Raw genomic sequence first — 24,616 nt, forward strand, 5'->3', positions numbered from 1 at the left:
TAAAGTTATAACAATTGAAACACCCACCAACAGCATTTGAAAGTGACAATTTCCAAAATCCTCCAGTTGATTAGATTTGGTTTTAAACAATCATATCCCCATATGGCCATAAATTTTTAAAATAGCTGAGCTATTGATAAAGCACAACTGAAAAAAAAACAGGGAAAAATTCAAACAATAAATGCTAGATTTTAAAGCATCTGTTTTCAAATACAAAATATAAAACTTAATGATACCAGATACCAGTAGGCTGAACTTAACAGAATGGCTTTAGAAAATCCAGTGATAACAGACTTTGAAAGGTACCAAGCTAAGATGTAAAACACTGCACCTTCGTTTGCCTGTCTGGCTTAAGAGTTTGGGTTTTAATAGCAACATGCTCTATTTTTCTAACAAGAAACTCATAAAACTGTATATTCTTTCAGATTGTATAAGTACTGTCTTATAGCTAACATGGCAATCTGAAGTTCTTAAAATTCCTTTAGATAATCACTTATTCAACAAATATGTGAACGTCTACTATAGACTAGGCACTGTTCTAATGCTAGGGACACGGTGGTAAATCTCGCAAAAGTTCCTGCCCTTGAGGAGCTGTTGGTTCTAGAGAGGAGTTGAGAACCCTGCACTTAAAGAGTCCGAAGATCATGGTTACACTGCCAATCAGGACTCCTGGATTCTTCGGCAAATTATAACACCACCTCTGGGTCTAAGTTTCTTTATCTTAAGAAGCTGACCAGATGGATCTGAAGGGCCTTCCAGCTTTCAATCAAGTTATCTACTTTACTTGATTTTTGTTTAAGTGCTTAATTTTCTATTATTCATAAGAGCTATGCATTTTAAGCTCTAAATAGTTTTTCCACAAAATCAGACTCTCCCAAAAGAACAATTTTACATTTACAGTAAAATTGTGGTGATCCAGGCAACTTCAAGGAATAAATGTAGTCATGATGAAGTTCCAGCAAGAAGAAAATGTATGCTCCTAACTTTAACTGTTTCTATGGAGATGTTTTTGCAATGGTCTTGCCTCCTTCACCTTTGTACTGCATTATAAACACTAAGGCATGAAGCATGGCAGGGCTATGGGTCTCCAGGCCCGTTGCATGGAAACAGTTGGCATCCTGTCCCCATGCAGCAGGCGCCTTAGTGCTTACTGTGGCACTCGGGTGTCCTCAGGGGCTGCAGCCTAAAGTCCTGGTGGCGATTCTCATCTCTCTCCCACTCACCTTACCTCCAACTCGACAGGTACAACAATTCTGCCTGAAGTCTACATCTCACTGCCCCATTAGCATTTCTGTCACCTCTTGCTATTTTCCACCAGATGTTCCACAATTCAACAGTCCTCGGATTCAAGGTGTCTTTGGAGAAGCCCACTTTGGGGAGAAGTTAAAAGAAGGTATTGCAAGAGGCCTCAGTATTCCAAGGCATTCTCTGGAAGAGCACCACACATACACTTTAGGTAGTGATATCACCGCCTTGTGGCCTCTAAGGATACTGCCGCTTAGTAATATAGCATATAAACAATGATTCCAATTCTTTCTCTGTATCTGCCTTACAAACCAGAAGAATGATTGGAAGCCAAGATTTTCACCTCTGTGCAAAAGTATAGAAAAAATCCACCTACCAGAAGTTTTTCCTCAACTTCCAACATGAAAGCATAGAATAGTATCTCCCAAACACATATCTTTGCTCACCTGAGCAGTACCAGCAGCAACATCCTATAAGAATGCATGTGTTGTCATTTTAGACAACGTAAGACAAATTTGCAATTCCCATATTTCACAAAAGGAAAGGTAAAGGAATTGGTAAAAGTACTTTAACTCGGGCATCTAAGCCTCTAAATTTACCCCAACTGGTAGGTGTTTCTACTCTTTTACTGAAGAGCTTTTACTATATCAGGACAAAAGGACACAGGCTTCTTTACTGAAGACTGAGGACCTAAAGAACCCTCCTTTACATATAATTTGCACAGAACTTAAGAGAAACAGTTGGAAATAAAATTGTCTTAAGTAGAAACTGCTTATTATGCTAAGTTATTAATTGATTAAGATAGGAAATAAAAAAGTTAAAAACCATCATTCTGGAAGATCACAACACTTCTAATATGGAACAGGAGTCCAAAAGTCACAGGAGAAAGATGTAGATTCTTATTAGACATCTATAACAATTGCTTGGCATAAAACTCATTTCCCAAGTTTTCAATTAATATTTAGAATGACAGATTAGAAGTTGGGAAAAGGAAATGCCACAAATTATTGATATTCCCTATAGGGCAGGCACACATTCCTCCTGTGAGAATAAAAGTACCTACATATATTTTATCTACTCATTAGTCTGTCATCTGGCCCAAAGAATTAAAACATTCAATACACACACCCACACACAAAAGGCATCTTTGAACTCTTACACTTATACAAATGGCTATTCCACGGAAATAAAAGATAAAAATGCTCACCTTTCTGAAAATCTCTCATAAATCACTATAATTTACTGAAAAGGTTTGTTTTTAAGGTTTTACACTTGAATTTCATGGAAGAGCAGTCAAGTGTAATTGACTTAAAGCAACAGTTTGACAAAAGTGATAATTTGAAAGAAAAGTGATAACAGTATAACCGATTGGCTGATGTCAAAGGCCAGAGCCAAGCTGGAAAACTAAAAGACTCCCGAATCTAAGTATTTTGACCAAAAGCAGGTAAGATTATTTCGTAAATTCTCTAATTATTCATTTACTCAATAACTATTCATAGCCCACTATGTGATGAAGGTGGTTCCTGGTGCTGCAAATGCAATGGGTAACAAGCAGATGTGTTGCTAGCCCCCTGGAGCTTCCAGCCTATAGAGGAACTCCACCACTCACATCTTTCCCACGTCTGTAAACATTTCTTGACATGCAACACATATGGGCACCAACCCCAGCCCACTCTTCTTCTGCCTGCAGCTCTCTCCTTTCCTTTCACCAACTCCAGCCACAGAGGTGGTCCTCTGTCCCTCAGGTATGCAAGGCTCAGTCCTGCTCCAGGGCCTTTGCACTTGCCCTTCCCTCTGCCTAAGCCACTCTTCTTTCAGATCTCCAAAATCATAGGCTTCTTCCCCCTCATTCAACTCTCAGCTCAGACCCCTCCACCCCAGAGAGGCTTCTCAGGCCACTTGATGTAAAACAGCAGCCCACATCCTGTCCCATTCTGCCATGCAACCCTGATTGCTTTCTTTCACAGCACTTAGCACTATCTAGTCACCATCACTTATTGTATCTTTGCTTCTTATCCATCTCCTTCGCTGAGATTATAGCAGGGTCTGTCTGTCCTGTGCAGTGCCATAATTTAGTCCCTAGAAAGTTGTCTGGAATATTAACAGATGCCCAATAAACACCTATTTCAGAAAAAATACAGACAACGTTAGCAGTTTTGTATCACAACAGTACCAAATAAAAGGCAAGAGAATGCCTTAAATTCTAAGAGGAGTTTGGACCATTTAAACTATATATATATATATATATATATATATATATATATATATATATATATATATTATATGTATGTATATATTTTAAAAGATTATGATAGCTTACACTAGTCCTAAAAGCCCTCAAAAATAAGCATAATGAAAATACTGAAGCTCAACATTGGCTAATGTTCAAGCTTTATAATGTATTAGGCTCAATTTCTAGCATTAGCATTACTTTTACAATTTATTCTTTTTCAAGAGCATGCTGACGAGACCCCAATTTTTTTGTTTTAAAGAAAAGCAAGAGCTAAGTATGTTTTAAAAGCATCCATCCCCTTAAAAGTTATTAACCCCATCATAAACTGTAAAATCTGTAACCATATTATACTAACATTAAAATATAAGATACTGGTGATAATCTACAGAAGGCAGGGATTTGAGTGCCTAATGGCAACCGAATTTTATGAAACATAAACTACCCTCATCTTCAATTTAATCAAAGGTACAAGCTGCCTCTCTACGTTCAAAAATATTTAAACACTTAAGAATTTTTCCTCAGATTATTCTTTAAAATGTGTATCTGTTCCTTCTTTTCTTTTGTTAAAACAAAGAGCCAAGTTGTTACCCAAGGAATAATGACTTTAGTTACTGACCATCATGGCTCCCACTTCACAGCAAAGATGCCAAAGACTCTTATGGATTACTGTGAAGTTATATAGAAGCAAACAGTGTATGCTGGGGAGAAGGCACACTTATTTCCTGGAAGGTGATATAAAGAAACAAATGACTACTGCCTTTAGGCCTTTGGGAATAACCAAATCCACTTAAAAACCTCAAAAACTAATGCTTTACAATTTCATAGCAAATTATTAGAAACAACCTACATATATCACAATGAAGAGATTAAATAAATTATGGTCCATCCCTAATGGAGTACTCAGCAGCTGTTAGAGAATGAGGCAGATTCTCTTAGATACCAATGGAGACTGCCATGATTTAGTACTCTGGGGAGGGAAGCGGGGCAGGGGGAGCTGGTGCACAGTATACAATGGGTCCTCATCTTTAGGAATACAAACAAAAAGAACACGTACAGAATGTTTACATGAGCATAGGCTATGTCTGGAAAGACATACACAAGGAGCCAGTAGCTGTGGAACATGATGGGAGAGAGGTATACTCCGTATCTTTTATATCTATTGAATCTTCTCCAGTGTGAATAGATTACCTGCTGCACAATTAATGTAAGAAAAATGCACACTATTACCAACATATTTGTCAAGGATGACCATTCAGAAGCAAATTTTTCAAAAATCACAAAAGTTTTGCTCCTTCAACAGCAGAGTCCCTGATTCTCATTCCCCAGAAGAGAATACAAGTCTCCACTAATCAAGAGGCTTGCTAGTGATCTCACTCACCTATTACAAAGCAAAGAAGTCTCAATTCAATTCTTGAAGAGGAAATAGCTGCTCCGATCACCTTGGGAACACATCATATATTTAAATTGAGCTTGCAACTAACTCCCTAATGAAGTTTCCAAATGAACAGTTGCCCCCGACTATAAAGCATAAAGTCAACGTAGAAGACAACTAAAAGAATGGTCTCGTGTTTTTAAAAAACACATTATACTTAGGCTTCCTTTTCTCTGCCAGGCTTAGACAAGAAACTCTCTGGTAACAGTGAAATGTAATTTCAGATCTGTGACAAAATAATCATGTAAGGGGAAGGGCAAGTAGCATTCGCGCTGAAAAAACTCCTTGGTTTTTCCACTTGTGAAAAGGAAAGGTTTGCCTTAAATTTAATTTCTGTACCATTTCTGGACCCCTGCCTAAACGATACTACTATATCACATTAATCTTACTTCAAGCAAATACTTTTTAAAATTAAAAACTAATCTGAAACTGAACAGGAATCGGAAGACAAACTTTAAACTGAAACTTTTCTGTTGAAAGAATGTATCTTTTAAAGACACATAAAAAGAAATGCAAAGAACCGATTTCCATATAAATGCCACTCAATAACAATACAGGTTATAACAATATTTGACTGCATTAAACATTCAAAAAGGAACACAAAGATACCCAACTGCAAATAAAAGACCTCATATATTTTTGGTAGCGGAATGTGGGGGGTGGGGGGCAAAAATCACATTAATTCAGATTAATCATGTAAATTCAGAACACGTGATGTGCAGTTTTGTGTCGCTCAGAACTCCTGAATCCAGCTTTGTGCTTTTACACAACATAACAGAAATGGCATCTTTCACAAAGCCTAACTTTGACCTCCAACACTTTAACTTTGGGTTTAACCAGTACACCACCTTCGGAAGTTAGCACATAAAAATACAGGTAAGTCAAATGCACTACGGATACAGAAAGGACGAGGAACAGGTTTAAAGGGGAGTTGAAGCAGAGGGGCACGAAATCACCTGGCAGGTCACCTCTCCGAAGGAAAAACATTTCAAGCTCCCTCCCATCCCCCAGGTAACCTCTGGCCTCAGAACTCACTGCCCTGCGTGGGGCAGAAGTTCTGGGCGCTGGAGTCCGCGTCCCCCAGGACACGAGGGTGACCCAAGGGCGCGCGGAGAGCGGCGGGACCCGGAGCGGCGCTCTCCGGGGTCACTCCCCTAGGACGCTCCGCAGAGCTGGGAGCGCTGCCCCACCCCGCCCGGGCCGCCCCTGGGGACCCCGCTCGGGGCTCCGCGGCTCCCCTGCTCCGCGCCGCGCCCACCCGCCCCCAGGACTCACGGTACGCTCCCGCGCCGCTATCTTGCCATCCCCTGCCGCCGGCTCTGTAGCCTCGGCCGCCGCCCCGGGGCTGCCCAGATCCCACAGCCGCCCGGGGGCAGGAGCCGCCAAGGAGGGGGCCGGGCACAATGCGCCGCCGCCTCCGCAGCCGCCGTCTCGCCTCCCCTGTGTCGGCGCGAGGCTGCTTGAGGCGGCCACGGGCGAAGGGCGGCCCGCTGCGCTCCGCGAACCCCGCGGGCCGCCGCCGCCGCCAGAGCCTCCCAGAGGCAACGGTAACGGCCACCGCCACGGCCGAGTCGCTCCAGCCGGGACTGCGGCGCGCGGGGGCGGCGCCTGCACGCCGCTCGGCTGGGGGCGCAGCGGGCCCGGCCCCGCCCCTGACCCGCCCCTGCCCCCGGCCCCGGCCCCGCCCCAACCCGCGCGCCCCCGCCGATCCCCGGCCGCGCGCCCGCGCGCGCGGGTGCTCCAAGGAGTCGGAGGAACGCGGCCGCGCGACGGGCCCCGGACGCCGAGGGTGGTGCTTCCTCCGAGCCTCCGGTGGTGAGGCCGCTCTCAGAAGGTCATGGAAGCGCAGGGGAGAGCGAGGCGGCCGAGCCCAGGCAAATCCTCGAGAAAGGCCGAGTGCGCGACGGCTCTGCGGGGAGGACCGCGCCTCCCCGAATGCGGCCGCTGCTGCCGCTGCAAACAGTGCCTTGAGGAGAGGAAAGCGGGGAACCGTGTTTTCGCCGCCTCTGTAACCACTGCACACAAGAAAACCAGCTTCTGGGAGAGGGGGATGATTGTTGGGACTTTGCGAATTACCTAAACAGCCCAGGGCCGAGGCGCCGCCGCTCGCGTCCTGGTCCTCCTGCCGGGTGTGGGGCTCCCCTGCCCGAGATGGCCAGCGGGCGCGCCGAGAGTATCCTGGAGCCATCTAGTCTTGCCTCGGAGGCGGGGTGGGCTTATTTGTGCGGAGAAGAAACGGATCTCTTAATGGGGTGAGATTTTTCCTCCGTACATTGTTCCCATTTCCGCAGTTTCACTTGGCCTCGGTTTTCTAGCAGAGTAATCACCAAATGAAATTAGCTGGAGAGCGTTTGATGGCGCAGAATCACGGTCTGAAGATGTTTACGCTGTATGCCGGACGCGTTTGATGGTGTTCTCTTCGGCACAATTAATTTTGCAAAGTTCAGAAATGTGCCAGACAGAGCCCCTGGCACGCAGTCAGGACTCTACAGACACACCTTGAGTAGGAAACAGGCTTGTTTGTTTCATCTGTGATTTATGTGATGCACCAGCACCAAGGCCAACGTGTTTTTTAAAGACCTTTCGATGAAACTCCAAAGCAATTTATAAATTGGCAAAATGAAGCTTGTTTTGTAAAATAACTCTTCCTTGTTGATCATGTAATTAAATGGGCAACAAAACACCTGAAAGGACATTTACTGAAAAGTAGACTCCCAAAACAAAAATATGTATTTCACAGCTAGATACGGTCGCTATTAGCGTCCTAATGGCCAACTCCATCCATGTGCGTATTTTGAACACTAAAAACGCCTCCTGTTACCCCTAAGACCTTGTTTGGATAACATTTTTCTATTATAAGTACTCGAAACCAACCCCATTTAAGATGTTTACCCTTATTCTTGAGTCCTTGATGGTTTGGGAAATTTATCATTATTCATATTGCACAATCCTGTCACTGTCTTTTCCATTAGGCACAGTGCCTAAGGTCCACAATATTTTTAGAGGCCCACAAAAAATATTTTAATTTCTTTTCAAATCAGAAGGAAAAAAAATTTAGGTTTAAGAAAGTATTTTAATATATATTAATATATTTGTTTTTGTGCTAATACAATCTTAAAATGTATGTATATATGTGTGTGTGTATATGTATATATATTTTAATGGAGTAAGGGGCTCAACGAAGGCAAAAAGGCCTAGAGCCCAAGAAAAACATGATGTGGCCCTGTTGCCTGGGGTTGAAAAATCCCATTCCATGAGAAGAATTTAGTTTTAAGAATATTACATAAAATGCTCATTTCTGTGGCCTTGCTATAATAGAAAGATGGAGATTCAGAGTAGTGATAATGGCTAACATCCACCTGATACACACCATGTGTCCATTACCTCTTAATCCTCACAGCACACCTGTGAAATAGGTACTATTCTCACACTTAGGGGGTAATGCAGGTTTTGTGGGGCCTGCAATTTATGCAATTTGGGTGGTCCTCTTAAAGAAAAAGCAAATACTGTGTATTAGTCCGTTCTCACACTGCTATAAAGAACTGCGCGAGACTGGGTAATTTATAAAGGAAAGAGGTTTAATTGACTCACAGTTCCACATGGCTGGGGAGACCTCAGGAAACTTAACAATCGTGGTGGAAGGAGAAGCAAGTACCTTCTTCACAAGGAAGCGGAAAGAATTGTGAGCGGAGGAACTTGCCAAACACAAAACCGTCAGATCGCGTGAGAATTCAGTTACTATCACGAGAACAACACGGGAAAACTGTCCCCATAATCAAGTCATTTCTCTCCCTAACAAGTGAGGATTACAATTCAAGATGAGGTTTGGGTAGGAACACAAAGCCTGACCCTATCCCACAGCATGTCCAGGCTGCCCTAGCACCACCCAATAGAAGGGAAAATGGCAGAGGGAAAGTCCTAGTGGAAAGAGACCTCAGTCTCAGCTAATTGTGGTGACAATATATTGCTTTTGCAAATTGTACATAAACATATGACCAGGTGAATGTATCGCCAAGGCTCCTGCCAAGGCCTGGGATGGAGGCCTAGAGAAGATGCCCGAAAGTTTATGCTGTGTGAGCTTCACAGAAGACCTGCCTTCCATGTATACCCATTTTACAGGTAAGAAATTTAGGGATTTGCCACAGCTTCTAAGGAACACCACATTCCTTACACCATACTGAGGTACAATTTGAAGAGTTGCGGTATACGCACTGTTTCGTGAGGAAAAACGGAGTTTCTGTAACAAAGCAAGAGCTTTAAAAATATGTTAGCAATATTTGACCAGGCCATAACCCAGCTTGGGGCACCTGACTGCTGTCTGTGCTGTCAAGAATAAATTTTTCTTATCTGTTGTATAAAAATCTGAATTAATCCATATGGACTCCTGAAGGAATTTCAGCTCAATTTCAAGTCTCATGGATTGAGACTATTTTTACTTACTTTGTCATAGACCAGTCTGTGTTGTAAATTCTAATTTATATAATATTTACTTTTTGCAATTTCATGAAGTGTTGCAAAATAAGTATCAGAACAAGAACGTACTTTGTTTGATGCTTATATTGCATAATACAACGAGCCTTATCTCCATAAGTGTTTGTTGAATAAATAAAATAATGAAACAGAGTAAGTCACAAAACTGAAGTAAAAGTGTAGGTTTTGTCACAAGCTAAAATTGAATGGGACTGAAGTAGCAAAATGTTGAGCTGTAAGTACTTGCTGGATAAGCAGAATTGACTTCTTAGTTAATTATTTTGTGCTAAACGTCTGTGATCTTCTTCCCAGCTACTGGCTCTTCTTTCTGTTTTTGTTTTGATAATTTATTTTCTTTTTTGTAAATGCTATTGCATTTGAAATGCATCATTATATAATAATGTTTAAATGAAACAAAAATCATAGTCACACCTGTAATGAAAGTTCTGGAAATGAAACGCTTTGTTTTTTGAACAGATCAATTACTCACAGAAACAGCAACCTTGAGTTGATGGTGGTTTTTTCATTAAATCACCTACATCTTGACCCTTAAACAGGCTTCTCTATGTGTGATCTAATATATATAGTGTTTATCAGTCAGCAGGAGAAGATATGGCTGTGTTCCTGGAATAAATTTTGGAAGCAAAAAAAAAAACATTCTACAAATTAAGCATAGTTTATTAACCGGTGAATAATTGAAATGAGTGAAACTTTTTTTCATTTTAAGCCTGACTGATAAATGTAGACTTAAATTGGTTTATTTTTGAGCACAGTGTTGGACAAGATTCAAAACTTTAATTATATCCCTGTAACATGAAGACATTTGAGAGTAATCAGATAATTTTCTCTAGATTTTATGTTCTTTACCCAAAGTGGTTTGGAATGCTATTTGAGAGACATGAAAAATATGACAAAGACCATCAAAAATAGTATCTGCTCAAAATTCTGTTTAGGATATTCTCTTTTAGATGCAATGATTTCAGGGTGCTATGTCAAGTAATTTGATAAATTATATCTCTAGCTTGGCCCCAACAGGATTGCATTTTGTTTTGTTTTGTTTTGTTTTGTTTTTTGTTTTTTTTTTTTTAGGCAGAGTCTTGCTCTGTCGTCCAGGCTGGAGTGCAGTGGTGCAATCTCGGCTCACTGCAACCTCCGCCTCCCAGGTGCAAGCAATTATCTGCCTCAGCCTCCTGAGTAGCTGGGATTACAGGTGTCCGCCACCACGTCTGGCTAATTTTTTTGTATTTTTAGTAGAGACAGGGTTTCACCATCTTGGCCAGGCTGGTCTTGAACTCCTGACCTCATAATCCACCCACCTCGGCCTCCCAAAGTGTTGGGATTACATGCATGAGCCACCACGCCCAGCCTGTCTTTTGTTTATTTATACCGTGCCTTCTTCCAAAAGGGACTTAAGGTGGTTTATTTACAATGAAAGACAAATATTTTTTAAAAAAGAAAAGTTGAAATTCTGGCTGAGACAAACAATAGTATTTGAGCATAAAACTGAGCCCAAGCTTCCTCATAGCAGTGAAATAGGGGAAATGAAGGTTTGCATAGCTCTCATTGTCAAGTGGAAGGAGTCCTACAGTTTCATCAGGAGAAAGCCTTTCCTGACCCAGTCTCTGGGAAGAATTTGTCTTAAGGGTACTTACCTGAGCGATACTCACATATCCAAGTTAAGAGGGACACTACACAACAATTTTGGCTATCTTTTGGTGGCATACAGAGCTAATTTTTTTTCTGGTGATTAACTTGAACATTGCTATTGTTGAAAGTAAGTAGTGAGACTCTTACTGTGGTTGTTTCGTTTTTGTTTTTGTTTTCCCTAGCCTTTGAAGTGAAGCCAATGATGTAAAATCAAGTCTTGGTTTTCCTAGTTTCCTTCTCTATAAAAAGGGCTTATTAAAAGTACCTACCTCGTAGGGTTGTAGAGATGACAAAATGAGTTAATTCCTATCAAACCACTTATTGCTATATCAAATTTACTGTAGCTTTCCTCAGCCAAGGTATATATATCTATTTTTTCCTCCCCTCTTAGAAGTTGTCTTATTGTAGACCATCTGAAATCCCTTTTGGAAGGATGCATGTGTATGTGCCTGACACAAAGTAAGCAATAAATATTTGCTGTGAATGTTATCGTTATTATAATTTCTACTACCACTCCTAAGTCTATCAAAGCTTTGGGAGTAGGAGTGATGGTGAGGCAGTTCTAGCCTCCAATTGTCCTTGCAAAGTAAAGCTTAGAGAATTATGAGGAGTAAATTGGTATCACTGAGATACCCATAAAGCAGTCATTTTCCCTTTGGTTCCATTGTATTGTTTACCATCACCTCCTGTCCTCTATGACTTCACTTCATTGTTTAATTTGAAGAACATGAAGTAAGAACACTTTCCCCCGATACACTAACATTTGCTTAACTCCCTGGGTCTTGGAGACCTCTTATACTCTTGGGAGGCTAAATGGCACAGCTGTTAAAGCCAACTCCCTGAGCCAAAAGCCTAGTGTTGGGGATCGTGGGAGCACCGCAAATGTGAAGACAGCCAGTGACAGGAGGGAGGGAGACAGCCCTACCAAACCCTCTCTTTCCCGAGTGAACTCTGTCCATCCCCTCTGCTCTGCCCCTCTCCATATGGTTGGTCCCAATTAACTTCCATCTGATTGGAATCTTCGTTTCAGATTCTTACTCTTCCTCTCCTTAAGGAATCTTATTGTTTCCCTTCTTGCCTCTCCCATCTTCTTTTCCGCCTCCGTCTTCACGTATACCTCACTTCTTAGCCATTGAGCCTCCATCCCTTTACCTCTTCCTTTTGACTTCCTGAGCATTCTCCTCTGTCCCTGCTTTTCTTTCTGTCCCCTTATTCTTATATTCTTATTCTTAGCTGTTGACCAGAGTCATTTAGGGAGGCAAAGCAAAACATTTAAATTGATGCTACCTTCTTTCTTATAGCCCATCGTACATCCAGAATACTGAGCTAATATTCTCAATTAAGCTAATGGATCCCACAAAAAAGCAATTTACTCCCTTTTGAGTGGTGATATTAAGCCCATTATTGAATGTATTCCTATGCTACTGCACTCAGTGCGTTGCCAGAGGCATCTTGTGCAGATGGAGAAAGAAGCCAAAAGATTAAGGGATTGAGCTGAGGTCCAGCCAGGGGTGGTGGAGTGGTTCAAAATTGAACTCAAATTCCTTAAATCCTTGAATATATTATTCTAAATATTGCACTTAATCCACCACCTTCAATATTATGTACAAAACCAAAAAACCTAAAACTGCAGGGGTGAATTTTTCTTTCCAGTTTCTGACTGTGAAGAATTTTCAGTGGTTACACATTTGCCAATAGGCATAATTCAAGGTCTCTGAAACACTGGGTAGCTGAAAAATAACTAGTCAGTTAAATAATTAATTTAAATAACAGTAATATCCCCAGGGTTTTCTTCGGGTACCTAATCTGGAACACTGCCTGGGTCTCATATTGGGAAAACAAAAGTGGCCATCACTATGGCAGCTCTGGCAAACAGGGACATTTCTGTGGATGGTGTTTCTACTGGAATTTAAGGTAACTGAGGACGCCACTCTCAAAGGGAAAGTCTGCAGCTTGGAATTTTTTTTCTGTGACACGCCCAAGAAATCTTGTGTTTCAGGCTATTTTGTTCCCAGGGTCTTGGACTTGAAGGGCTGACAGAAACCTTTCCACTACCCTAATCAATGTAGTATCCCACTCAAATGTGAGTTCACATAGAATTCCATTCTACCTACCCAAGTAGTCTTGACCTGGACTATACCAATTAGTCTAACCTTACTGGGTTTTTTCTTAACTCTAGAAAAGAGAAACATAGCTGTGCAGGTGACTCTCAGGTTGGGAGATTAATATTAATTGGTTATTAACATAAAGAGTCCCCATGCTAGGCACTTTCTCTGTGTTTTATATATGTAGATATTAGTCTCACTTTACAGGTGAAGAGACCAAAGCTCAAAGGAGTAAAATAACAAAGATATGAATGCACCAGTCTGTTTAATTCCAAAGTCATCATAATTTATAATGATTTAGAAGATGTTGGCTAAAAGTGGGGCTCAGAATTCATAATCACTAGAAAACATTGAACATTTATTAAGCACTTACGGCATGCCAGGTACTGTGTACCAACTCAGCCCATCCTCCCTACAATCCTGCAAGTTACAGGGAGGGCTGTCATCTCCATTTACAAATCAGGCAAAGAGGTTCACTAACTTGCCAAAGGCCACACGGTTACTGACAACAGTGTGATTCAAACCATGGCAGTCTGGCTCCAAAGCCCACACTCCTCATTCCTGAACGCTATGTTCCACTTCAGTGCTGGCCACTGAACCTTCTCCTGCCACTTCTAGTTTCAGGAGCTTCACTAGGATCTCACCTACACCGTAGTGCCGCTGTGAGTGAGGCTTTGACAAAGTTGGGTTTTGACTGAGTGCTGTCAAAGGCTCTTCTCAACCCAAAGGACATGCTCTGAATTCTGTCTCTCTTTAGTCCAAATGGCTCCTGTCCTTTGTCTCTGTAGGGTTGAATCTAACTCTTTCTCTCCTGCATTCCTGTTTCAGATTGTATTGCTAGTTGAGATAGAGACTTGCTCTTTCCTTCGGGTGTTGTTTGAGTGCAGAATTGTGTCTCTGTAGGATCAGCCCATCCCCCTTCCCCACACTACTCTTCTGCTTTGAGACCCCATGATTGGATTTTTTTTTTTTTAGACTACTGCCCAGGCTAGAGTGCAGTGGCACCATCACAGCTCACTGCAGCCTTGACCTCCTGGGTTCAGGTGATCCTCCCACCTCAGCCTCCCAAGTAGCTGGGACTACAGACACACCACCATGCCTGGCTAATTTTATTTTTTGTAGAGACAGGGTCTCATTATGTTGCCAGGCTTGTCTCAAACTCCTGGGCTCAAAGGATCCTCCCATCTCAGCCTCCCAAAGTGTTGGGATTACAGGTGTGAGCCACCACACCCAGTCCCCCATGACTGGATTCTCATACTGCTATTCATCTCTGGTGGGTTACTCCTTTCTTCAACCTGAAAGTGATGTTATATTCAAAACCACCAACAGCCGGGAGCATCCCTAGACACTTCCATTGGCTTTAGAGAGTGTTATTTTTGTCTCCATTGGATTTAGAGAGTGTTATACATATGCATATGTATATATATACACACAATATATATATACACACACACTACACACACACACACACACACACACACACACACACACACACACATATATTTTTTTTTTGAGTCAGAGTCTCACTTGTCACCCAGGCTGGAGTGCAGTGGTGCAATCTCGGCTCACTGCAACCTACACCTTCTAGGTTCAAGTGATTCTCCTGCCTCAGCCTGCCGAGTAGCTGGGATTACAGGCGCCTGCCACCATGCCTGGCTAATTTTTTGTATTTTTAGTAGAGACAGGGTTTCGCCACATTGGCCAACTGATCTCAAACTCCTGGCCTCAAGCAATCCATCCACCTTGGCCTCCCAAAGTGCTGGGATTACAGGTGTGAGCTTTCATCTTTATTTTGCACAGCAGTTTAGTAAGGAATTTGTTGAAATTATACTAGACTTATATTCAGTATTGAGCCTTGGATGTTTAATACTTTATCTTTAGAAAATAAAAATTTTCAGTTGAAGAACAAAGCATATCAGTATTCCATTAATATAGTTTTCAGTATAACAGATATAACAGTGAAAATTGTTCAATGAAGATTCCTTTCCTGCAAGTGGTAGAAATACAGCCCTCACTAATTTAGGCAAACAAGGAAGGGGGAAATATCATGAAAAAGAATATTAAGTCCCAAATGGCAGCATAGCTATTGCCTAACTAATTTAGGCAAAAAGGGAAGGGAGAAAGGCCACGTAAAAGAATATAAAGTCCCGGATGGTGACATAGCTATTGGGGGAAGGTAAATTCCTACATGAAGGAAGGTGGGAAGGGCAGACAGTGCCTTCATATGTCCACAAAACATATGAAATGAGATGATGTATATGAGAAAGCATCAAGTGGATAAAATATACCTCTGTCATGATTGTTGATTTTTTTTTTTTTTTTTTTAGACGGAGTTTCGCTCTTGTTGCCCAGGCTGGAGTACAATGGCGCAGTCTCGGCTCACTGCAGCCCCCACCTCCCGGGTTCAAGTGATTCTCCTGCCTCAGCCTCCCAAGTAGCTGGGACTTCAGGCATGCACTGCCATGCCTGGCTAATTTTGTATTTTTAGTAGAGACAGGGTTTCTCCATGTTAGGCTGGTCTCGAACTCCAGACCTCAGGTGATCCCCCACACCTCGGCATCCCAAAGTGCTGGGATTACAGGCGTGAGCCACTGCTCCCAGCCCCATTGTTGATTTTTAAAACTTAGTGTTCAACAAATATTTATTGAGTACTTAATACATATGCATGCTAAGGAAACAACAGTGAGTGAGACAAAGCCCTTTGTCTTATGAAGACTCTGATGAAGCTTACGTATTAAGACTCTCAAAACATGGTCAGAATGTCCTTGATTAGCCTGAGTTGCCAAAAAAGAAAAGAAAAAAAGAAACTATTTTAAAATTAATTTTTATTGCTTTCTGTCTTTCATTTTTTCTTCCTATCATAGCACTAGATGAAGTTTTAGATATAAGCTTAAAAGCCTGAGTATTTGATTTCTCAATGACCGAAGGTTAATTACAGCTCATAAAAATATTAGAATTAACATATAATATTCAGCCTAAAAGATATAGGAAATATATTGTTCCTTTGATTTTAAATCCCTTTCAGTGGCTCAAAGTTAAAATAAAGTTTGCAGACGTATCAGTTGGTTTAAAATCAATATTTTCTTCATTTTAGGCATTTTCTATTTGCCATTCAAGGGAGAGGAAAACATTAAGAATCTTTTTTCCCCCAGCCACTAACACAGCAATAGATCTACATATAAATTGTTAGTTCCCTTCTTTTGTATTAATATCTCTATACTCTTGTTCACTATTTTCCAAAGGCATTGAGAAGTTAATCAGAAGTTTATGAAAAAGGAGACTTTCTAATCACAGAAGGTTGGATAACACTGAGTTAAACAGCTTTATAAGTCACAGGCCTTTTTAGAACCCTTAGTTCATTGTGGATCCTCAATTATAACATAATGTAATGTAATAATATAATATATGGGAGGACGCTTCCCAACAGTCATCCCTTTTCCTGGTAACAATATCTTGATTGTCCTTTAGGGAACCTATTCCTCATTCTTAGTCCCTGAGTTCTGGTGAATCTGTCCCCCATTCCTGGCTTTAGAAATGTTCATATGACAAGTGATTCATTGGTAAGTGTTAAAAACCAATTCTAAAAAAAAAGAAGAAAATCCTTGATTTGTAGCATTTGACATTTTCCATGGTGTAAATACTTTTACCATGGCCAACTTTAAGCTACCAAGGTGAAATCACTAAACATGGAGTTGGGAAGAGAGGCACATCATCAGCTCCTGGGAACCTGCAGCGCACAGTGTCAGAGATGACCCAGTCTAAGTGAATCAGACCATTTATCCCTCTGGGCCTAGGACTCAAGCCAGACCAGCTCCTTAGGTCCAATTCCTTTGATTTTTTTAAAGAACTGTTGTGGAAGAGGCACCATCTTTCACTGCGTTCGTTGAAAGGAAGGAATTGGAACCAATTCTGGTGATCTACTTTCCATGTGGTCTGTTTGGAAAGAGCCTGGCTGAGAATGCAGACCCTCAGAGAAGTGACTAGCAGAGCTGAGAGATGGAGACAGACCAAATTCTGGGATCACTGTTGGAGTCCTTGGATCTTGTCCAGCCTGAACCTCTGGACATTGCTGTTACATGAGCCAATAAATCCCCTTCGTTTCTCTGTCTCTCATTCTGTTTCTCTTCATCTCCCTCTTATCCATTATTTGTTTATTAATTTTTCTTTTATTAAAGCTGTTTGGTTTTTATTTCATTGAAGGAATATGACCATTCTGTATTTATTTATTTATTTATTTATTTATTTATTTATTTATTTATTTATTTTGAAGACTGAGTCTCACTCTGTTGCCCAGGCTGGAGTGCAGTGGCATGATCTGGCTCACTGGAACCTCCGCCTCTTGGGTTCAAGCAATTCTCCTACCTCAGCCTCCCAAATAGCTGGGACTACAGGGGCATGCCACCATGCCCAGCTAATTTTTGTATTTTTAGTAGAGCCGAGGTTTTGCCATGTTGGCCAGGCTGGTCTCGAACTCCTGACCACAGGTGATCTGCCCACCTCAACCTCCCAAAGTGCTGGGATTATAGGCATGAGCCACCACCTGGCCCAACCATTCTGTATTTCAAAGAGCCTGCCATGAGGTTAATATTCCCCCAGAGCAACTTAGGAACTGCCATTCTAGCTCATTCTCTCCCTACACCTCACAGAGACTGGGTACTATGAGTAACTGTCTTCTAAACATCTGATCTGACTGCTTTGTTGTAAAGGCTGTTCAGATTCAACCTATTCAAAATTGAACTGATATTTTCTGCTGAAAACACACTTCTCCTATGACTCTCATTTTCATTAACTTATGTACAAATTATGTGCCTGACCAGGGATATAACAGTGAAGATGATAAAGTTCTTGCCTTCATGGAGCTCTCATTCTAGAGAGAGAAAGAGACCATGCATAAACACATAGGTAAATAATGTACCAATGGCAACTTGAAATAAGTGCTTTGGAAAAAAATTAAGTGGGTTTAAACGGATAGAGAATGACAGGGGTTTCTATGCTAAATGGAGTAGTTGGAGGAGGCCTTCTTGAGAAGGAATTTTTGAGCAGAGAGGGCTAAATGAAATGAGACAAGGGCCTATGGGAGTTTCTGGGGGACCAACAGGCACATGGTTGGCATGTTCCAGAACTGCAAGGAGGTCAGTGTGGCTGGAGTCCAGAAGCATGGGGAGGTTGGAGAGGTATCTGGGGGGCCAATTAGGTGGGATGTTGTAGGCAGGATAAAGGACTCTTGAATTTCTTCTGCACATGATGGCAAGATTTGGAGCATGAATCCCTCTGCCACATGTGTGAGGAGTAGATTATAGGGGTCAAGAAGAGACACTGCACTGAGGGGCTGAGTAGGGAGTGACCATGCTGGCTAAGACCACCCTCCTAGCTATGCTGGTTGGGCATCATCTATGACTTTTTCTTCTCCTTCATTTGCTACATTCGTGCATACATGCCCAACTGGGGGTTTTGTTTTTATAATGCACCTTACAGCCATCAGAAGCAGGTTGAGCGTCCCAGGATACAGACTCTAGGACAGAGATTAGTGTGGGAGAGGTTTATTGGGAGTGCTCTTGAGACAGTAGTTTGTCAAAGAGAAGGAAAGAAAGCACAACTGGGCAGAGAAAGAAGTTCAACTACAATGTGGTGAGTTCTGAGGCTGAGATGGCCCTTCAGAGCTGTCCTGAGCTGTGGTGAGAGGTAGGGGCCTTTATATCCCCAGTGATGATCAGTCATTGATGCCACCATCCCAGGAAGAGGTCATGACCTTGGCCGAAGGCCCTCTTTTGGCAGCATTCCCAGTGACTTGGATAATCTGATCATTATTACTGAAGGGGAGGTCTGGGCACCATATCGCAACACCCTGGTACCACATCACCCATTTTTACACTTGTTACTGAAACTGCCTTGATTTAATTTCTCATTCTTCTTGCTCAGATTATAGCCCACCATTCTATCTCGAGTTATACTCCAAAGTAAAAGTCAAATTAGTCTTTATTGCCTACACAATGACATTTAGACTCAGCACAGCATTGAGACTCTTCAAGAGCCAGATGTCATCCCCTACTGCAGGGTTCACTGGACTGTGGCCTGTTAGGAACCCTGCTCAGCAGGAGGTGAGAAGCAGGAGGCTGCTCAGCAGGAGGTGAGAAGCAGGCAAGCGAGCATTACCACCTGAGCTCCACCTCCTGTCAGATCAGCAGCAGCATTAGATTATCATAGCAGTGTGAACCCTATTATGAACTGCACATGTAAGGGATCTAGGTTGCATACTCCTTATGAGAATCTAATGCCCGATGTGATCTGAGGTGGAACAGTTTCATCCTGAAACCATCATCTCCACAACCCCAGTCCGTGGAGACATTTTCTCCCATGGAAACTGGTCCCTGGTGCCAGAAAGTTTGGGGACCGCTGCCCTACTGTGTGTCTTACAATCTGGGCAGACAAGCCTAATTGGCACACCCTAAAATCGCACTGTTGCTTGAATCTGAAATGTTGTCTTTCCACTCTATCTATTAAAATCCTATTCTTCAAGGCTATATCAAATTCTACCTCCTCTTTCCGAAGAATCTTTATTCTAATATTCATTTCATTCTGCCTAGAGTATGTTGCTTATTTGTTAGCTGGGTAAGTGCAGTAATGAGGCCCTCATCATTTTATTCCCCCTTAGTTCTTTACAGCATTTAATATGGTGGACTCCCGATAAGTGTTAGTTGACTTAGTTTGTTTCAGCCTTCGTCAATAGCTAGATGATATCCTGAGTGGCAGTATAGCAGAGGGGTTACCAGCAGAGATTCTGGACCCATACTATCTTGATTCCTCACCATTTAATAGGTCCATAACAGTTAGATAATTAAGCATGCTATACCTTAACTTGCCCGTCTGTAAAATGAAGATAATAATCCCACCCAGTTCTTAGGGCTATGGTTAGGATTAAATGAATTTGTCTAAGTAGAGCATTTAGAACAGTGGCTGCTATTTAATAAGTACATGTAAGTGTTGGCTTATAATGGTACCTAAAGATTATTAGGGGACCTGCCCAAGTCACCAGTTCCCAAGGTAGCCCATGTTCATCAAGATTGTCCCAGAAGAGAGTGTTGTTCTTGCTGAGATTCTGTGGAGAGGACTTCATACAGTTCTTCTGTAGGAAAATATAATAGAGTTCTTGTTTTCCTCTTATGAGCATACCTTTAATGAGTGAGGATTTTCTTGCAAAACATGTTGGAATTCTGTGCTTTCCTGAGGCTTTTTCGGTCTGGACTTAGACTGGGTTTTAGAATGAACATTATGCACTTTCCCGGTGTTGCAAGAAAAAAAAAGTACAAAGCATCATATTTATAAGTGAATAGATTCATGGACACTTTAGAACTTAGAGTTCACCTATCGCAGGAGACAAGAAAACAAAGAGATTCAGTGACTTGCCTAATTAAAGGACAAAGTTACTTAATAACGTTAGCCAATTTGTGTCTGAAGATGCCATTTTTTCAGCATGTATAATTCAGACAAAAGTAGATCTAACTTGCTAAATCTCCACAGAACAAAAAAAGAACTCTTGTTTAATTTTAAGGCTATTGTGTTATTTAAAATTTATCCTAGATTTGGCACAATACTTACTCTTCTTATAATTAATTACCTTTTCTCATGAGCAAAAATAGTTACCATAATTATTCATTCGTTTGTGTATTCATTCATTACTCAAAAGCCATTTGTGAGCCTCTTTTATGTACGAAGCACTGAACTAAAAATTGGAAACTTTGAAAATGAATAAGCCCTAGTGTTCTGTGACTGGCTCACATCTGTAGAATCTGTGTGTCTCCTGAGTAGTCCAAATTTAAGCAACTTCAAAATGTGGGTGTAGGCTGCAACTTGATCTTCATCAGCCAAAGGTTAAATATTGTTAGCCACAACGTCAGTGATCAGATTCAGAGCCAAGGTGCTGCTATATACAACCAGTTATCATTAAGTGAGCATCTTTCACTAGAAACGAACAAATAGTATGCACTAGTCGGCTGGGCACAGTGGCTCATGCCTGTAAGCCCAGCACTTTGGGAGGCTGAGGCGGGCGGATCACTTGAAGTCAGGAGTTCGAGACCAGCCTGGCCAATATGGTGAAACCCTGTCTCTACTAAAAATACAAAAACAATTAGTTGGGGGTCGTGGTGGGTGTCTGTAGTCCCAGCTACTTAAGAGGCTGGGGCAGGAGAGTCACCTGAATCCGGGAAGCAGAGGTTGCAGTGAGCCAAGATTGTGCCACTGCATTCCAGCTCAAAAAAAAAAAAAAAAAAAAAAGCACTAGCCTCCTTCTCCTCCTCTCCTTTGCTCCTACTGATTGAGCTGTACAAAAGCCAGAAGAAAAAAGATGACATGACATTACCAATTTTGTAGCACAATGTCTTGTTATCATAATGCAATATTAATGCAGGCATTATGTTTCTATGAGATGTTAAGCATAAAGTGAAAAAATATCCCATGGTCAATGAATTTGGAAACTTCTGGTTAAACAACCTTAAAAATGTGTCTTTTAGTGTGCTTCCCTTTCTGAACTTTTAGCATGCTAATATGCATCATGAACCTCTAAGAGAGGCCTAAAACATTTGACCTAAGTCAAACTAACTTGCCTGTGGAATCTTTTGTTTGCAGGGAGGGCATTACCCATGAGTACTTTCAAACCGAAGGTCAATTTTGTAAGTTTCTGTGGTTCATCATCCATTAGGTATTGCTTTTTTCTAATAAATAGGATTGTTTTTACTATAGCTTAAGCCCACTTTATCTTTGAATATTATTATGGAGAAAAACGATTCAAAATCGTCTGTATAAGAATCTTGTCTTTACTTGTATATTAGTCTGTTCTCACATTACTATAAAGAAATACCTGAGACTGGGTAATTTATAAAGAAAAGAGGCTTAATTGGCTCACAATTCTGCAGGCTATACAGGAAGCATAGCAGCTTCTGCTTTTGGGGTGACCTTAGGAAGCTTCCAAACATGCAGAAGGCAAAGAAGGAGCAGGTGTCTTACATGGCAGGAGCAGGAACAAGATATATAGAGTGAGGGGAAGGTGCTACACACTTTTTAAACAACCAGATCTTGCAAGAACTCACTCACTGTCATGAGAACAGCACCAAGGGGAGAGTGTTAAATCATTCATGAGAAACCTACTCCCATGATTCATTCATATCCCACCAGGCCCCACTGCAACATTAGGGATTATAATTCAACATGAGGTTTGGGTGGGGGCACAGATCCAAACTATTGATTTGAAAATCCTTATAAAGCACCCCTCAACATTTGTGCTACCACCTGTTTATCCAGAGCTTATGACAGACATCTCCAGTCTATCCTAGTGCTCCTTCTGTGCGGGCCTGAAGGGGGGTCAGAATATCTTTCCAACGCTATGCTTCAGGCAGTCATTTCCAATCCATGAAATGTAACCTGCTGGATTGAAATGAATTTGCCATGGTTGTTAACAATAGCTACCCCTTAATAGCACACCTACTACATGCCAAGCACTTTGTGCAGCCTTTTACTTAGAATCTGTTATTTCATCTCCATTTTAACTACCATCATAGTCATCTAAGTCACCATCATCTCTCACCCAAACTGTTGTGATCACATCCTAACCAATCATACTCCTTCCCTACACACTACGAAACAGTTCAAACTGTGTGCATGGTCTATATAACCTGCAAGATGTGGCCGCTGCAACTTTCCCCATCTTTGTTTCTGTCACTCTCCTGTGTTCTAACCATTGATCCACAGCTGGATTGCAGGTTTGGAAATTCAGCCTTATTAGTTCACTAGAAGGGAGCAAAACCCTAGAGAGTCAAGTCACACTAATCAGCTCACAAGAGCTTAATGTGTAATGCACAATACCAATTTACTAATTTAAAATGAGAAATGCAACAATTAAACCAACCAGATATTTGTGTTGCTTGTCTGTGACTTCTTTCTGGAAGCTAGAAGTAGCCATTAGGAGCTTTTGAGCTGGAATCAGACTGCCTGAGTGCAAATCTTGACTCTCTGCTTACTAACTAGGTGATCTCAGGCCAGTGGGTCAGTGTGCCTTTCGATGTCTACTTCACCATCAGTAAAGCAGGGGATAATAATGAATCCTACCTGTCTGCGTTGTTGTGGTTAGGAGTGAATGAGAAAACATACCTGTTACATATTACCATATTACTTAGAACAGAAGTTGATGCATAGTAAGCATTCAACAAATATTAGCGACTGTTCCTAGAATGAAAATCTACTGAAAGAACTAACTTAATATCAGAGCAAATGAAATTAAATAATTTTAAACAGAATTTCTTTTGCCAGCGTGTTGACCTTGTAAGTTACTGTTTATGCATTCATCCCATTCAGTAGTTATTGACACCCAAATAATTTCAGACATGATCAGATGCACTTGGTAGTCCCTCATCGCATAAATATAAATGAATGACTGGATGAATACTGAAATGTAAATTTACAAATCAGCATATATTTTTGCACTTTCCTGATTTTGTCACCACTCCCACCCTATTTCCCAGTCCTCTTTTTGCCTTCAGTTTAAAAGGCTTAAAAAGCAATCAAGGGGCTGGGTGCGGTGGCTCACACCTGTAATCTCAGCATTTTGGGAGCCTGAGGGGTATAGATCACTTGAGGCTGAGGCAGACCAGCCTGGCCAACATGGTGAAACCCCGTCTCTACTAAAAATACAAAAATTAGTCGAGCATGGTGGCATATGCCTGTAGTCCCAAATTACTTGGGAGGCTGAGGCAGGAGAATTGCTTGAACCTGGGAGGCAGAGGTTGCAGTGAGCCGAGATGGCACCACTGCTTTCCAGCCTGGGCAACAGAGTGAGACTCCATCTCAAAAAAACACAACAAAACAAAAAAAAAGCAATCAAGGTAAGCCAACCACTTAAAAGCCCGGCCTGCCACTGCATCTGGTCTTCACTCTCCCCTCTGCTTACTCCTGTCAGCCACACTCACTGTCTCTTTTCCTTACACATGCCAGGCTCCTTCCCTCTATAGACTTCCCTCATGCTATTTCATCTGCCTGAAATTTGTCACCCCAATTCTTGGCCTGGCTCATGTCTACTTGCCTCAGACACTCCTCCCAGACCCCCCGGACTGGTTAGATTCCGTGATTGCAATTTTCATAATTGTCATTACATGGCCATTGTTTACCATGGGTATTCCTTCCCAGTAAAATCAATGAGGACAAGGACACTTTTTTGTTTCCTGCTGGATCTCCAGTCTTCAGCACATGGGTAGGTAGTCAATCAATCATTGTTGAATGAATGAATTTAATCTTCTCAACAATTTTCTGTAAGGGAAAGTCAAGGCTTTGAGCTGTCAAGTGACACACCTCAGTTACACAGTCAAACTGAGAGCAAGTTCGAACTCAGGTCTTTCAACGAAAGCCCTTTACTACCCAGCACTGCTGCCACTTGGTTTCTGCAAGTTACCTAACTATCTACACACACCATCATTTTCCTTAGCTTAGACTATACTCTAC

At 41.6% G+C, this 24,616-nt stretch overlaps 1 protein-coding gene, 1 long non-coding RNA gene and 1 other non-coding gene across 10 annotated transcripts in view, besides 2 other annotated features; 1 reads left to right on the plus strand and 2 right to left on the minus strand.

Moving 5' to 3' along the window:
- The window catches only part of LIFR (LIF receptor subunit alpha), a 133,736-nt gene that overhangs the window by 75,481 nt on the left and 33,639 nt on the right, over nt 1-24,616 (minus strand). For 2 of the 7 annotated variants that reach the window (NM_001364298.2, NM_001364297.2), the window contains exon 1: nt 6,987-7,319. The exons of 3 other annotated variants lie outside the window; for them this stretch is intronic. The gene's annotated coding sequence lies outside the window, so the exon portion shown is untranslated. Of the gene's footprint in view, nt 1-4,856; nt 4,918-6,185; nt 6,499-6,986; nt 7,320-24,616 lie in introns of those variants that run through there. 2 more of the 7 variants (XM_011514042.4, NM_001127671.2) reach the window with 2 other exon arrangements.
- Nucleotides 6,638-24,616, plus strand: part of LIFR-AS1 (LIFR antisense RNA 1) — a 114,431-nt gene continuing 96,452 nt past the window's right edge. For both annotated transcript variants that reach the window (NR_103554.1, NR_103553.1), the window contains exon 1: nt 6,638-9,029. This is a non-coding gene — a long non-coding RNA (LIFR antisense RNA 1). The remainder of the gene's footprint in view (nt 9,030-24,616) is intronic.
- Nucleotides 6,639-7,422: an enhancer, noted in NCBI's record as "H3K27ac hESC enhancer chr5:38556889-38557672 (GRCh37/hg19 assembly coordinates)". NCBI's record gives its function as "activates a minimal SCP1, AML or CMV promoter by ChIP-STARR-seq in naive H9 embryonic stem cells {active_cell/tissue: H9 hESC(naive)}" and the evidence as "EXISTENCE:reporter gene assay evidence [ECO:0000049][PMID:30033119]".
- Nucleotides 6,775-6,884: an enhancer, noted in NCBI's record as "active region_22494". NCBI's record gives its function as "activates an Ori minimal core promoter by ATAC-STARR-seq in GM12878 lymphoblastoid cells {active_cell/tissue: GM12878}" and the evidence as "EXISTENCE:reporter gene assay evidence [ECO:0000049][PMID:35858748]".
- Nucleotides 7,354-7,413, minus strand: MIR3650 (microRNA 3650). Its single transcript, NR_037423.1, has one exon. It is a non-coding gene; the product is annotated as a microRNA 3650 (primary transcript).

The sequence above is a fragment of the Homo sapiens genome, chromosome 5 (assembly GCF_000001405.40).
Source record: "Homo sapiens chromosome 5, GRCh38.p14 Primary Assembly".
NCBI classification, from domain to species: domain Eukaryota; kingdom Metazoa; phylum Chordata; class Mammalia; order Primates; family Hominidae; genus Homo; species Homo sapiens.